This window comes from Homo sapiens, chromosome 14, assembly GCF_000001405.40.
Source record: "Homo sapiens chromosome 14, GRCh38.p14 Primary Assembly".
Taxonomy (NCBI): Eukaryota; Metazoa; Chordata; class Mammalia; order Primates; family Hominidae; genus Homo; species Homo sapiens.
The window spans coordinates 57,562,310-57,578,329 of record NC_000014.9 but is presented as its reverse complement, the minus strand read 5'-3'; the positions used below and the strand labels follow the sequence as shown (position 1 = coordinate 57,578,329).

Sequence of the window (16,020 nt, the reverse complement as noted above, 5' to 3'; positions counted from 1 at the left end):
AAAACAGTTAAAGGGATGCTTTCAGTCATCAGATTAAAATTTATATTTCTAGTTCATGCTAAAGCATCAGTAGTTTAGAAACAGATGTTTGTTGGATTATAATTTTCATATGCTTAGCTCCCCAGGAATGAGCACATTTAAAATGAGAAGCTATGGCCTTCCCTACTTCTAATTTTTTTTTTTAATGTAAAAAGAACACCATGAACAGAGTGAAAGACACTTTAAGTTACAACATCATAAATATGGGTTTATCCGGACCACAAGTAGGCCAGAATTACTAATGCTCACATAAAAATGAATTATGTATTATGAATAACTTGCTAATATTTTGTTTCTTTTGAACACTGAATTACAGATGGAAAGGTAATCTGTTTTACATTTAGTATGAAGTCATTTCAGCCCATTTATTGGTAATCTATGATGTGTTATAAAAAGCCCTTTCATGAGCAAATTGCTTGCAGCTAATCTGTGATCATCCCATGAAAATTAGTAAACTTCTTTAAAAGATAATTTTTTGATTGCAAAAATGTTAGAAAGTGATAATCCAGCTCTTGCAGCCTTGAAAATAGGTGTTCTCCTGTCTCTCAGACCTTATTATGTTTAGCTAGAGTTCTTAAATTCGTAAGAACCAGAGAACCCACCTTAATTTTTTTTTTTTTAAAAAAAGGTTCTTCCCAAGGGGAATGTGCCACTGGCTGGGAGCTTTCTTCTCTGCTGTTGGTATCTGTTTTACACCAATGAAAAGTAGATGCCAGACTAGAATGGTAGAAACTTTCTTTCAGATTTTGTCCCTCTCTTATTTTTTTATACTATTCATTCAAATTTTTCTTATATTTTCCAATTTCCTTGAAGATATGGAGAATGTTGGTGGTTGGTGGATGGTTCAGCAGATCCCAACTGTCTTAGCAGACTGTGAAATGCATTAGTGTCCCTCTGGCTTGGGAGCCACATATTTTCCAGCTATATTTGGGTCCCTGTGCAGTTAGTTAGCTTCCCAAACTATAGCTGTTTTCAAAGACTTTCCAGGATCTACCAAAAACTGACTGAAGTACATCAGTTAAACTGAATCTTTCATGGTATAGCATATACTTCTTTGAATTCAAATTGGGCCCCTGAAGGCTAAAACAGTACATTGGAGCTGAGCTGCTACTGATTTATGCTGATATTAAATATTAAGAATTAAGATGACACGTAACTTGACAATTTGTTTCCATCTTGCCTTTGGCTCCTCTTTATTCATGTGCAATGCAGAATTCTCTGCCCAGAGCTTCCATGCTTCCTGGAAGAGGCAGTGGAGGATGGACAGTGGGAGTCATCCTCCCTCTTACCCCTATCTTGGCAGGACAATGACTTATGAATATAGCCAAGAGAGGAGACAGCTGGGTTGTGCTGGCTGTCCGATTTTACACCCTCAAGGAATCTGTAACCCCTTCAACATGGTGCAGTCAATGTGTCTACCCTCCACATATATCCTTCACTCTTTCTTCGTGGGATTTCTTTACAACTTTGACATCCAGGTCTCCCTCTGAGATCATTTTCAAATGGATTTTATTCAGATAAAAATCCATGCATGTAGGGAGAGGGGGAGTTCAGAGGCCCAGCATCCCTTGGGTTTGCTGCTATCCAAGGTACCCCCCTTCCCCCTGTCACACACAGCATCTGGACAGCTATAGATTGCCACACCTCTTATTTTTCACATTTCAGCACTTGTTCAGTTTAATTGAATCTGAGTAAAAAAGAAAGTTTTCCATAGAACCTTAAATATAACATATGCAGAAGTTTAAGGATTCTGTATAGCCATAGTTCCTTGAAAATCAACTGTATCTAAATTTACCCAGAGAGATAATCATTAGCATGTTTCTCATTCGTCAAACTATTAATGTGTGTCCCAACCTCAACTACTGACCTTTAGTCTTCAACTTGAGCACAGCAGCTGCCAGCAGTGTGGTCTGAGATCTGCATTTTTAGGGGCTGCTGTAGGCTTTGGAATTCAAGGGTTCATTTGTGAACCAGCTGCTTCATACTCACCTAGCTTCAAGAAACAGAATTAGCCTCAAGGCAAAGTAAGGAAACATGTTTGGATTATAATCAGTCATCTTGACCTTTAAAATCTTAAAGGAACACTGTAGGAAGAGAAGCAACTAAAGGTTCATCCAATGCCTTGGACCCTAAAAGAGCTGGTACTGTTATGCAAATAAGAATTGTGAAAACCATCTGTGAGTGGGAACCATAGTGAATGGGATCAGGTTGATAAACCCTCATGGAGATGCACAGAAGGACCAAACCTTTGTGGGCTTTTGATGGCCCGAGCCAAAAGAGAAAAAGAAAAAAGAAAAAAAAAAGATACAAGAAAACAAAAACGGCCAAAAGCCAGATATTTCTTTAGGCTTTATCTGTACAAACTAATTATTTGAAAGATAAAAGAAACACCCTCCATGCAGGGTCACAGGTAGCATTTAGTACAGTGAGATCACCAAATGTCCACTGGTAAAGCCCTCTTTGGGCTTTAGGAACAGGCTCAAATGGCCACACGGATCCCTTCTGATTGGCTCTGAAAATTAGTGCAGAGAGCTGTCTGAGGGCCCCAGCCTGCAGAGGAAGATAGCTGGCTCACGAGGCCATGCCACTCAACTGGCATGCTGAGATAATGGGCTAAATAAATCCTCTTCCTTCAATGACTCACCCCAGGTGGGCACACCACAATGTGTGAGGGCAGAGAGGTTTAAACATTTTAAATGGAGGCATTGGCAGTTTTATGGTCACTATGGTTACTAACATTCTCACCTAAGCCAGGTTCAGATAATGGTAATGGTGAGTTTTTTTTTTCCCCATCTTTTTTGTTTGTTTTTGAGACAGGGTCTAATTCTGTTGCCCAGGCTGGAGTGCAGTGATGTGATCTCAGCTCACTGCAACCTTCACCTCCCAGATTCAAGAGATTCTCCTGCCTCAACCTCCCGAGTAGCCGGTATTACAGGCATGTGCCACCAAAGCACGGCTACTTTTTATATTTTTAGTAGAGATGGGGGTCTCGCCATGGTTGGCCAGGCTGGTCTCGAACTCCTGACCTCAAGTGATCCACCCACCTGGGCCTCCCAAAGTGCTGGAATTACAGGCGTGAGCCACTGTGCCTGGCCTAGTTTTCCATCTTATTTAGACACTTCTGGTTGGTTAAGAGGCTGGAACTGGAATAGATTGTCAAGAGACAGATTTTTCAGAAGCCGAGCAGGTGGCACCACTAGATGGTGTATTTTCAGCAGAAGAATTCCTCTCATGGATGTTAATGTGTCCCAGGAGCACTTTAGTGGTTGTCTTCATGTGAATGAACACATATGAGCATTTTTGACACAATATTTTAGGCACTGGCTTCCTGCAGACACATTTCCAGAAAGCTGAGGCCAAGAAGAGTCGTTTTGTGTTTTTCTGTTGAGAAGAACAGAGTATTAATCCCTCTTTGATGACTGATTGATTCTGAAAATGTGTGTGACTGATACGTGCTTAGGATATTTGTTCTCCAGACATCTAAAGAGTATTTACTCTCTAAAGTTAAACCAGTGGTGCCAAGCAGAGCCATTCTGAGATCACCCAAACAACCACTCCACAATTTTTCCTCATTTTCAAGATTAGTTGAGATCTCTTCCTTCACTTACAACAGTATAGATAAGAAATATATTTAAAATTTCTTAAAATATAGCCATAGAGAATTTGACCTATCAGATATTTTTGAAATTTAAACTAAAATGTGGCAAATAATTTATCTATTCCCACTATACCCTCCACCCGCACCCTGCCCCAGGAACATACTATATAACTTATGAATTACTGCTCATGTCATGGAGAATTTTTCTAACATTTCAAATATTCAGATTTTCATTCTTTCAGAACTTAACAGCATTGTCTGACCCCCTAAAGTGAAAAATGCTTCTCTCTGTGAAGGCAATTGAAAGAGACACTGCTGTAATTGACATGTCAATTTAAGTGGTCCAGGCTAATATTTTCACAAGCACTTGAATATAACGAGTAATGAAGATCTTTAAGAGGCTCACTATGGTTATAATTTTGAATTGCTACAGAGTTATGTAATCTTTACCCATGTTCAATTCCTATCTTGAGGAAACATAATAGAAACTTTATGCATATCTATTTTTACTAGTAGCTAACTCAGAAAAGGAAGAGTTCCTACCTGTGGTCATATCTTGGGGATAATGAAACCAACTGCCTGTCCTTTTCTAGACAGGATTTTGTTTTGTGCTTTGGGGTTTTTTAATTGGTTTTCACAATTTTCTAAACCCAGAATTACATACTACAGTGTGTAATTGCCTAAACCCATGTATTATGTATTATAGAATGCTTTTAATAATTTAAAATATAAAATAGCACATCATGTGAAAGTTCGTTAGGATTTACAGTTTTGTTAGCCTTGGCTTCAAGTAACCGCTTGTTTATTTGACCTAGAAAATGCAATGCTTAGCTAAAAGAAAACAAACGTTAACTCAAATGTATTATCCCGTCAGTTCAGTCTTATGAAGGAAATCTATTTGTGCACATGAACACTAACCAGTGAACATCATTTAAACACAAAACCAAATCAGGATATGCCAATATCTAATGTGCCTTTTTTATTTCCCTGAAATCAGATCCCCCAAAGAACTGTTGCAAATCCCCAAATCAAGGAAAATGATAACCCTCATAGAATTTCCAGGTCTAGATAACCCCCTCACTGTGTGTATTGATGAGTCTAGACCTTTATCCAGGTCTAGATAACCCCCTCACTGTGTTTATTGATGAGTCTATTACTTATTATTTAGAAATCTCCTTGACACCTAAATTCTTAAATTCTATTCCTTATAGTTTAAGGCCAAGTCTAACCAGAACACACACCCGGCAGCTTCAGAGAATATGATATTCACTCAGCAAGAAAACCACCTCCCATCAAGCAGCCTCCTGGATAATGTTTAATGAAGATGGTTTTTCACTGCTGACATGTCTATGTCTATTCTCAAGTACTCCTGCTGTTTTTCATTAAGGACACTTTAATATGGAGCTACTCTGAAACCAAGTGGGCCCTTGCTTTTGGTGGCCACTAACAAAAGACATGCTTTAGCAGCGTCTGAATTCTATGTAATTGGGAACATACTTTGCAGTGGCCTCAAGCGAGTCAGTAATTACATGTTAAAAATCTACGTTATAAAAAACAATTCACTAATAGTGTTCAAAAGGGCCCCCGAAAATCACATATGTTAAAAAGCTATCTTTACTTGGGAATTTCTTTACTGGGAATACTCAGAACTGAAGAATTTCTTTACTTGGGAATACTCAGAACTGAAGCTTAACAAAATTAATCACCATGTAGGTTTAAATTTCTCACCAATTTTCATCTGGATTTTAAAGTCAGTGAAACCATTTCACAAGGAAATGACATATTGTCACCTGTTCCAGCATCATTTTACTGTTTGCTATAGCTCTGAACTGCTTTCCAGTAGAACTAGTTCAAGATAAAGAGATGACACAAAGCAGCAATTCACTAAGGGAGTAGACTCCTGTTTTGAATATAGCTAGAATCATCAATTTACAGTGAACAATGATGACTTCAGTTGAATTATGAATATTTCACTTTATGCAGTTAATGCTCTAGAGTAATTAAATGAAATTATCTTTCAGTGGTTTTTCTGAAAAACTGAATTAATTTTCATGTGAACAAAAGGAAGTACTGGCTTCCATTTGACATTCCAAGTGACAGTGCAGACTCAGCTTGCTCCTTTATACATCTCTATGAGAATTTATTTTCTTTCTTTTTTCCCATTGGCCTGAAGTTTGCCTCTTAGCTGTATCAATATCATGCTTCTCTAATCAGGTCCTGATTAGATGGAGATCTTCAGAAACATACCTTGAGCCAAGGAGCTGATTAAAATGTATGCTGAATTGGAGGAAAAAGAATAGATGAAATACAGAAGAGATGAAAACGCTTAGAAGTGACTTCCTATTAAATTTATTTCACCAGTACAAATGTTAGTCCCTAGAAAGCTTGAGCTAAAAAATTAAAATTATTAGGCCTAAAAAAGTAAAAATATATTAAAAATAATAAAATTACTAGTCTTTAATTAGAATGTGAACAGCTTTTATATTCTGTGCCTGGATATCTCATGAACATATTGATTTATTTCTAATACTGAGCCTTCCTACATTTAAAGTGATGTACAAAAGGTAATTAGGTTTAAGGAAGTACTTAGCAGCTTTCAGGAAGTCTTGAATTGCCTGCTCTAGGATACAGAGGGATCATTGCTTTTCTGTTTCTTTGCATCCTATTTGACAGATAGTTGCTGCAATAATGGCAATTACCGGCATTGTCATGATGGCATATGCAGATAATTTCCACGCTGATTCCATCATAGGAGTGGCATTTGCGGTGGGCTCAGCCTCTACATCTGCATTATATAAGGTATGTTGTGCACTTTCTTTTGTAAGCAACTGTCACTCATAACTTAGACTTGAGTACTAAAGTAAGAAAGTACGATGTAATCATTGATTAGAAAGAAAATAGATGTGTTGAAATAATAGTAAGTAAATTAACTACTTGTTATGTGATGGGTACCTGCCTGAAAATTTTTGCCTGTGTTAATACAACCTTATGAGGCATAAATACTTATTTCCACTTTCCAGATGAGGAAACTGAGGCTTTGAAAGATTACATAACTTGCCCCAAATCATAGAGCCAAATAGTGATAGAGCCAAGACTTAAACTCTGGACTAGCCAACTTCTAAGCCCATGTGCTATGCCCTAATCCCTCATTTATCAGGCAGTTATAGCAGGAACATTAGAAAGGCATCTTCTCTCCCTGTGTTTTTTAATTTAATTATCTATGGTCATTATTTTAACTCAAAAGAGGTGTTAGAAATAAGCTGTCACTAGAGAGCTGTTTGGCACATATTAACCCCATGCCACAGGAGCTCGTGTTACTAGCAAAATGAAGAAGCTCTTTTTCTCTCTGATGGATGCTCTACGTCTGCTGTAGGTACCCACCATTTTTTTCTCCACTGGAGTTCCCTGTCATCAAAGAAAATTCTATTCGGAGTCATTGCACCTGACTTCAGAAGTGAGCACTAAGAGAGCAGATCTAAAAAGTTATTCCCCAAAGCTCTACTTTTAAAGTCAACTTTCTGGATGTATTAAAGAACTGTTCCAATTTCACCTCTCTTGGTGTTTCAATGAGAAAACACACTCTGAAAGGCCGAAAATACCCTTTTCGTCCCTCCTGGAAGCCTGTTCTGATTATTAACCAACACTGTGTCTCAGAGGGCATGAAGTCTATTTCCATATTGACATTTCTTGGCCCATTGATTCTGTGTGACAAGCTTGACAAATGTTCACTCAATGGCCATTACTGTCTAACTTGCTCCCCAACTGAGATCCACCAAGATGTCTGATGTGACCAAAGACTACCACGTGCTCAAATTCTTTTGATTAAGTCTTTCAACAGAAAAAAAAAATTAGTTCAGTTGAAATTAGAAGCAGTACCTGGGATTGCTATATGACCAGAATGGCACTCTTACAGAGGGATTTCCCCTGACCAGGTTACAGAATGTATTCATTCTGACATGCACCAAATCATATCTGCAGCATAATATAATTCCAGGCAGAAGAGATCTGCTTCACTCTGTGTTGTTACAGGATTAGTATAGGGAGTGGTGGGCTTAAGAAGCTAAGAAATATGGACTATACCCCTGGCTTTCTCTGTAATCTGTTGTGTGATTTTATGTTAGCCATTTGCTTCTCCTTGCCATCTTCCTCTGCACACAGGTTTATAATATATAAAAACTGCTTTTTAATCTGGGGAACAAGCACCATATTTGTGAAGTCATTTTGAGCTCACAAAGAAAACTGCTTATAAATCCAAGGCAAAAATACTATTTCTCTCAACAACATAATGACAGGGTCTCTCTGTCCAATTTAGTTTTCAGTATCTATCAAAATAAGGATAAAACAAATCCCATGCTTTAAGTTAAGGATTAATGGCCAGTCAATCCTAGAAGATTTTTCTGGGCTTGTCTGGACTCTTATTTATCATTCACCCAATACCCATCACTGATGGTGGCACTAAACACAATGTACACTACCCAGCAGTTTTCAGCACCATAAGAAATTCATTTTATGACATTTGCTATTTCATATGAAGGCTATGGAGTATTTTAATTCCTTATCTCAACAGCCCATCTAGTGCTGTGAAGATGTCAGGGCAAGAAGAAATGGAGAATAAACTCTGGGCCAGTTAGCTCACAGTATGGAACAGTAAGACTTACGTTTCTGCTCTGGCTAAGTTTCTGTGTGGCTGTAGAGTTTCTTTCTCATTCCAGGTCTTGTTTAAAATGTTTCTTGGAAGTGCCAACTTTGGGGAAGCTGCACACTTTGTCTCCACCTTGGGTTTCTTCAATTTGATCTTCATCTCCTTCACCCCAGTCATCTTGTATTTCACCAAGGTGGAGCACTGGTCCTCTTTTGCTGCTCTGCCATGGGGCTGTCTCTGTGGGATGGCAGGGCTGTGGCTGGGTAAGTGGCCTCGGGTTTTGCCTTCCATTCCCTATATCAATCTTTCTTTGGCTAGTTAGATTATCATCATAGGATTATTTCCTTGGGTAACTCTGTGCTCTAGTTCCCAAACTTATGTTGTTCAATGTCGTTGGTCATGTTTAGAAGGTTCTTTGCAAGCTACTGGTTGATTAGGTTCAAGCTATCCAACTAGTATGCCTCCCATGAGTTAAGGTGTGCACTGGAGGCCCAGGCCTCTCTGTATACCACTGGCCTTCAATCCATTCTTCTTCAGCCTCATTCATTCTTTCTAATACACTGTATCATGTTATAATGTTCCATGTGTGCCATGCTGTGTTGGGCAGAGGTTAGGGAGTAGACGGTGCATTCAAAGAACTCAGAGTGGTTCAAACTGGTGGGAGCACTGAGTTTGGAAGAAAGGAAGGAAGGGAGGGAGGGAGATGCTATTTAAGAGGGAAGCAGATTGGGAAGAGCCTGGAAAGCCATTTTGAGGTGTTTGGATTTAAAGTCCACTTAGTAATTTTTAAGCAGTTTGGTGATAGGCTCATATCTGCATATGAAACAGCTCACTCTGGCTGAGAATGGAGAATGGATTTGTGATAGGAAGACATTGCCAGTATATAGAGACAGCAGCATGCACTAGGCTTGGTGATCCTGGCTGAGTAGACAGTACCTAGTTAATGGCCAAGAAAAAGTCACCTCGAGTCCTTGTAATGTCTTCATTGCCAGCTTCCTATAACTCTGAGGCTGGCTGCTTCACCTGAGCTCCAGGATCTGACTTTTAAGCTGTGCTGCTGTCACTTGATGTGAGAGGAGCCTGAAAAATAATAAGGCTGCTCTTCTCTCACCAAGCAGTTAAAAAACAGCAACAACCCAATGTTGTTGCTCATCCCTCATCCCTCTCTTCTCCATAGAAATCCTTTTCATGCCGCTTCTATTTCCACGTGCTACTCAGAGGTCAACTCCCTCTGCCCACTCCACATTTTCCCACAATGCTCGACCTGCAGAACATCCATCAACCCTCAACTGACCTTCTTTACTGAGGTGATATAATTTGAAATAGTAGCAGCACTGCAATTCCTGGGAGCTAAATGTTCTTATTTTCATCCCTGCAAGAGTATTGATTGGGTCATCTTTTTCTATGCTGGCTCAGCCCCTCAGACTCAGGGAGGTCTTCGACAGAAAACACTCAAGAGAAGGATCAAACATTAATTGTTGGTCCCTTGAGTTCTACTTTTCAAAGCCAAAATTATATGGTTAGCACCTCTCATAACCTCTGCTAAGCTGAGTAGAAATCAATAGTGATATTTCTGTAAGACCAAAACATCCTCATTAAAAGCACCTAGATTATTTTCTGGCCAAAAACAACATAAATGGGAACAATCCTAAGTAAAATTTCAATGGCCTTTAGCCTCCTCATTGCACATGTGATTTCCACCTTGCTGCTGCAAAGTAGCCCTCCACCAACATATACTCCTTGGCATATCCAATACGCGCTCCTAAGCAAGCCTGCAGAGGCTGGACGCCACCTGTGCTAGCTGAACACTGGCATTCGCCACCAAGCAGTATGAGCTCCACACTCCACTGGGTACAGTGCCAAGCAGCACTGCAGCTGCTCTACCAGGCCCACCCCAGTGCACTGCAGAGAGCTCACTGTGCCAAAGTTGTGCTGTGGCAATCGAGGAGATAGCCTCCCTCCAGCCTGTTACACACCCCAGGATCTTACAGTCTTCAGTGCTCCTATTCCTAAGTGTTTATTGCCGTCCCTCTCTTCTCCATAGAAATCAGATGTGATCTGGCTGAGACACAGGTCTGAGAGATACACATCAATCTGCACCCTGAACTACCCCACATCTCCTGTAGCTATGGTTTCTTGTTTGCTTATGTTTACTTTGCCTCACTCCTCTCAGGTTGACCTATCTTTCAGGAAATGTGTTAGCCCAAATGCAAGTCAGCCTCATCCATTCACCTAGCATGTCTGAATTGCACTTAAACTCAGGCTAGGCCCCATACTATGGAGCTCAGCAGAGCCTGTGCTGTATTTAATAAATTCCTGATTGGTCAGAATTTGCGATGTTGGACTCCCTGAGTCTGAGGGGAGTGTCAAAGTGCTGGAATATTCATTTATGTTGCAGCTTTGTCAGGAATGAGGAGCAGTTATTAGTTTAGGAAGACCCTCTGCCTTGCTTGCCACTATTGTATGAACAATATAAAGGAGCCCAAGTCTTGTAAAAGTCAAACTCACTGTTTCTAACTACCAAGCACAAAGTGACCCAGTGGGCTTAAAGCGGGAATTACAGATGACAATAGAAGAACATACATCATCCTTATTCGAATGCTTCTAGAACTTTTTTTGGTTCTGCAGAGATATACACAACATGCTTGCCTCATTGTCATGGAGATCTCTGAATTGAGGACATTTTACAATTGTTAACACTCATCTCTCTATCCCCTGAAACAAACATTTGAGTAGACTCTATGAGAATAATGCTTTGTAATTTATAATTCTTTTTTCTTTTTGAAAATGTGTTTTTGATAAGTTTTAAAGTGGATAAATGATTATTTTAACTAATTTTATATTTAACCAAAGAGGTCCAAAAGGTATTCATTGAAGAGCATGGAGCTACACCTTCAGCTGGTTCTGTGGATCTGCCCTCTGATTATCTGTACACAAATCAGAATGTGGAGACAGTCTCTGGAATTCAGTGAATTACATTAAACCCACCCTTGTTTGCCCACATGATGCTGACCTCCAGAGAGAGGGAATAAAACAGCATAGGCTATCATTGGATAGACCTTCCTTTAGGCAGTAACACTAGAGCCATTTAATGTCTATGAATGTGGCACAAAATAGCACAGCAATAAAGAGATGAGGCACCATCTTCAATCAATCACCTGCTTTTAACCTCTGGCTGGCCCCAATCTACCTTTATAGTGCTAATAAACAGTCCTGTGAATCAATTATTTTACCTCTTTGTATTTGTCCATATACCTTTTGCCAGTCTATTGGCAAGATTCAGGTAAAGAGAGTGGCAGACGAGGAAAGAAGAAAATGACTAATTCAGGTAGAATACACATGCATCCATCTCCAAAATTAGAGGATCAAAGGTATAGACAGTTTAAAAGGCACATGTAGCAAAGACATTGATTCATTTACTATAAGGAGAAAAAAGTCCAGCGTATTATTTCTCTTTCATCTTGCATTTCCTCCTCTATTTTACAGCCTTCAACATCCTGGTGAATGTTGGGGTGGTGCTGACATACCCAATCCTAATCTCCATTGGGACAGTGCTCAGCGTTCCTGGAAATGCAGGTACAGGCACCATGTGACATGTGCAGATCCTGGCCACTACAAGTCTCTTGCTTGTGTTTGTTCTGTGTCCTGAGTTGTTCCTTCTAGAAATTGTGAATTATGTTCCTTGCCTGGGAAGATGTTTTTAAATATCATGAAGGTGGCAGACAACAGAGTAACTATGCAGCAGATTTAAAATCTGCAGCTAAAAACACTGTTTTTACTTGGTTGTGCTTTTAGAATTAAATACCAAATGTATCATTTGGGTTTCATATAATCTCCCTGACAACCTAATTTTGTGGTATTTTTAGAGGAAGTCCTATGGAAACAAAAGGCATCCCAGCATAGGACTTTCAAGTAACCGTCACTAATGAAAGTGCAGAGGATGTACATGAGGTTGGCTTCTCCTCAGACAATCCATGGGGAGCCACGGAAAGCTCTCCTGGGGCAGAGCAGATGGCCCTCTGGAATAGATATAAGGAAAAAGCAATTTTACTCACCTCAGGGACAAGAGAAGCTATTTTTCCAGGATATTTCTAGAGAAACCTGCCAGTGAAACAAGTAATGCAAATGGATTATCTGGATGATTGTACAGTCCTTTTAACTTTAAAATTTTATAATTTCAAGTCTTGAGTAGCCACTTTTCTGTCCTCCACGACAATCAGCAAATGTTTATTGAATATTTATCATGTGATCAGGGCAGCAAAAAAGAAAAAAATACATTATTATTCTCTTAAAATGCTTATGGCTGAATTTGTAAAAGAAGGCCAACCTACATGAAACAACTTGGAACTCTACAGAATAATTTAATATTAAATGCCAAATTGTGTGAGACAGACTCCAGTGGCTGTAAGATATTCAGAGAAAAGAAATATCAGAGTGGAGTTGTCAAGGAGTTTCGTTCATTCATCCAACAAAGAATTTCTGAGCAATTAGTGTACACCAGGAACTGTCCTAACACTAGTGACAGGTCCTGAATAAGGCACAGTCCCTGCCCTCAGGACCATGTAGCATTGAGAGGGAGACAAAAGGAAAAAAAATTGAGTAATTACAACATAGAATTGCTTTAATAGAGGTATGTGCTGAATGCTGCGAGGGCGCATAGGAGGAGCATCCAAAAGGCTTCCTGCAAGAAGCCTAAGGGGAGAGATCTAAGGAGAGGTTTAGCTGGATGAAGTGAGATATGAGGAGTGAAGGGTAGCTCATGCTAAAAAGAACAGTACATGTGTGACCAACAACTCCACTCCTGAGTGTATACCCCAAAAAAGTGAAAACAGAGATTAAAAATATCCTCATACGCAAATGTTTATAGTAGCCCTATTCACAATAGCAAAAAGGTAGAGAAGCCTAAATGTGAATCAGGAGTTGAATGAATAACCAAATTATGATGCAGTGAAATATTATTCAGCCATAAGAAGGAATGAGGTGCTGACACGTGCTACAACATGGATGGACCTCAAAAATATTTTGCTAAGAAGCCAGTCACGAAAGAACACAGAGAATGTGACTCCATTTATATAAAATAACTAGAATAGGCAAATCTATAGGGGGAAAAAAGCAGATTGGTGGTTGCTAAGGGCTGGGGATTTGGGATAAGAAGCTGAGGAGTTAATGGGTATGGGCTTTTATTTTGAAGTGATGGAGATATCTGGGGACCAGAGAGAGGTGGTGGCTGCATAATATTGTGAATATACTAAGTGCCACTAAGTCCACTTTAAAATGGTTAATTTTATATTACATGAATTTCACCTCAATTAAATTTTTAAAAAGAACAGCCTGCACAAGTGTTAGACACTAACATGTTTGGCTCATTTGAAAAATCTCCAATGGTCCAATGAAACTGGAGAAGGTTAAAGGGGTAAAGAGGAAAAGTACTGAGAGAAAACTGGGGAGATAACTAAGTCAGATTACATGGAATTTAAGCTAAGCCTTGAAGGATAAGCATGACTTAGAGACAGGCAGTGGAAAGCAAACCTAGCAATGTGGAAAAAGGAAACACTAACTTGGAAGAATAAAGAAGACTCTTGGAAATCTCTAGAAGTAACATGGACTTTGGTGACTTGTTTTCAAAGCTTAGAAACAGGCATAGGAAATGACTGACTTGATTTTTCTTTCCTAGCTGTGGATCTCCTAAAGCAGGAGGTGATATTCAATGTTGTCCGCCTGGCTGCTACCATCATCATCTGCATTGGGTTTCTGCTGATGCTGTTGCCTGAGGAATGGGATGAAATCACCCTGAGGTTCATCAACAGCCTGAAGGAAAAGAAGAGTGAGGAGCATGTGGATGATGTGACTGATCCCAGCATACACCTGCGGGGCAGAGGCAGAGCCAATGGGACAGTGTCTATACCACTGGCTTAGAGAGGGACATATTTTGAATGCACGTGTATGTATATTCTGTGAATATAACAAAATTTTCTCACTACCTGTACACTCAAACGACAGTATTAACTCTGAATTTGGATAAATCATATGTGAAATAATGCCAACAATAAAAGTTTACATTTATATGCTTATCAAGGAATTGGTGTAAATAATCATAATGGATTTTTTTATTAAAACACATTTGTCCTTGTTCTGTTTTCTGATTTTTTTAAATTCCCCCTCCCCCAACTCACAAAATTTCCGGAAACTGTAAGAGTCGATTAAATTATGGACTTATCTTTTTCTCAACTGAAACTGAGTTCTTCCTACTCAATCAAAAAAAGCTGTCGAAGAGAATAACACGTGAAAATAATACACACTTGAAAGCTGGAAATGTATTAAACATTTAAACAGAGCATTTTCTATATGTAAAACCCACACTAGAAACAATGAGGAGTAAAAATACAGAATCCCCATCTGTACTTTTAATGAGCTTAGAGTCGTTTGGAGGATAAGACAGTTCACAAATATCTTTACTATGAGGTAGACATTTGAAAACGGCACAGTGGACATGGACAGGAATGAGCTATCCTGAAAGAGTTGTTTATATTTGCCGTCACTTCAACTCCCATTCACTCTTCAACCCACTGCAACGCACCTTCTGCCCTCATCAATTCTCTGGAAGTGCTTTCCCCAGTGATCAACCTCTTTCTTGCAAATCATATTGATATCTTTCAACTCTTATCTTATTGTGCCCTCTGACACATTTGACACGATGACCACTCCTTTTTCCTAAATATTCTCTCTTTGCTTGAATCCCACTACTTTCTTTTGGTTCTATTTCTACCTCCCTGGTTGCTTACCTTGGCTTTTCTTCCTAGGCTTATCTCATCACCATCAGGGTTCTCTGAGTTTAGACATCGGCCTTCTTAGCATCTCATTCCATACTCTCTCCCTTGGGGAACTCCTCCACTCCCATGGCTTCAACTGTCATCCACATGGTGATGACATGAAAATTTTAATCTCCAGCCTAGATTTGTCCTTTGAGCTTTAGCTCTGACTATTCAAATGTCTTCTGCAGCTCCCTTGGATGCCTCCTTGTATACCTCAAATATAGCAAAAACAAAGTTGAATTTATCATCAGTCCTCCCCAGACCTGTTCCTTTCCTCTGCCTTGTTCCCTGTCTATGTTAACGGTACCATTATTCACTAGCTGCCTAAGCCAGGGATCAACCTCACCTCTGCCTTCTCATCCTCCACATCTGTTTAGATATTGTTTCATATTGTTTAATATGTCCTATTGATTCTATTTCTTAAAATTTCTTGAGTCCATATACTTCTCTCTATTCTACCCATACAAGGCCCCCATCATCTCTTGCTCTGCTTAATCCAATACTTTCTTCACTGATATCTCTAATTTCTAGCCTTGCCTCTCTCTAATCTCTTTTGTGACCTATAGAGTGGCTTTTCTAAACACATAAATTTAATCATTCTATTCCCTTATATCAAATGCTTCAGTGGCATCTTATTATCCTCAGGATAAGGTCCAAACATCTTGGCATGTCATTCAAAGCTCCTCGTTGACTGGCCCCTGCCAGCCTCTAGAGCAGCAATGTCCAGTAGAACTCTCTGTGATTATGGAAATATTTCATATCTGTGTGATCCAATATAGTAACCACAAGTGGCTATTGAGCAGTTTCAATGTGGCTAACACAATTGAGGAACTGCATTTCTATTTGTATTTAATTTTCATTCTCTTAAATAGCCAAATGTACAGCCAGGCACAGTAGCTCACACCGGTAATTCCAGCGCTTTGGGAAGC

The 16,020-nt window shown here is 39.4% G+C and overlaps 1 protein-coding gene and 1 long non-coding RNA gene across 19 annotated transcripts in view; one reads left to right on the top strand and one right to left on the bottom strand.

Moving 5' to 3' along the window:
* SLC35F4 (solute carrier family 35 member F4) overlaps nucleotides 1–14,410 on the top strand; it is a 419,262-nt gene extending 404,852 nt beyond the window's left edge. For 12 of the 18 annotated variants that reach the window (NR_159373.2, XM_011536723.4, NM_001206920.2 and 9 more), the window contains 4 exons: nucleotides 6,311–6,436; nucleotides 8,350–8,542; nucleotides 11,766–11,855; nucleotides 13,954–14,410. Coding sequence is in view for 13 of the 18 variants with exons in the window: in XM_011536723.4 (XP_011535025.1) it covers nucleotides 6,311–6,436; nucleotides 8,350–8,542; nucleotides 11,766–11,855; nucleotides 13,954–14,195 (651 nt within the window). In the remaining 5 variants the exon portion in view is untranslated. Of the gene's footprint in view, nucleotides 1–6,310; nucleotides 7,794–8,349; nucleotides 8,543–11,765; nucleotides 11,856–13,953 lie in introns of those variants that run through there. The other 6 variants (NR_159376.2, NR_159375.2, XM_047431343.1 and 3 more) reach the window with 3 other exon arrangements.
* LOC105370519 (uncharacterized) overlaps nucleotides 50–16,020 on the bottom strand; it is an 87,246-nt gene continuing 71,275 nt past the window's right edge. Inside the window, exons 3-5 of the long non-coding RNA XR_007064194.1 lie at nucleotides 12,335–14,087; nucleotides 3,084–8,516; nucleotides 50–2,032 (exon numbers count right to left, since the gene is read on the bottom strand). This is a non-coding gene — a long non-coding RNA (uncharacterized LOC105370519). The remainder of the gene's footprint in view (nucleotides 2,033–3,083; nucleotides 8,517–12,334; nucleotides 14,088–16,020) is intronic.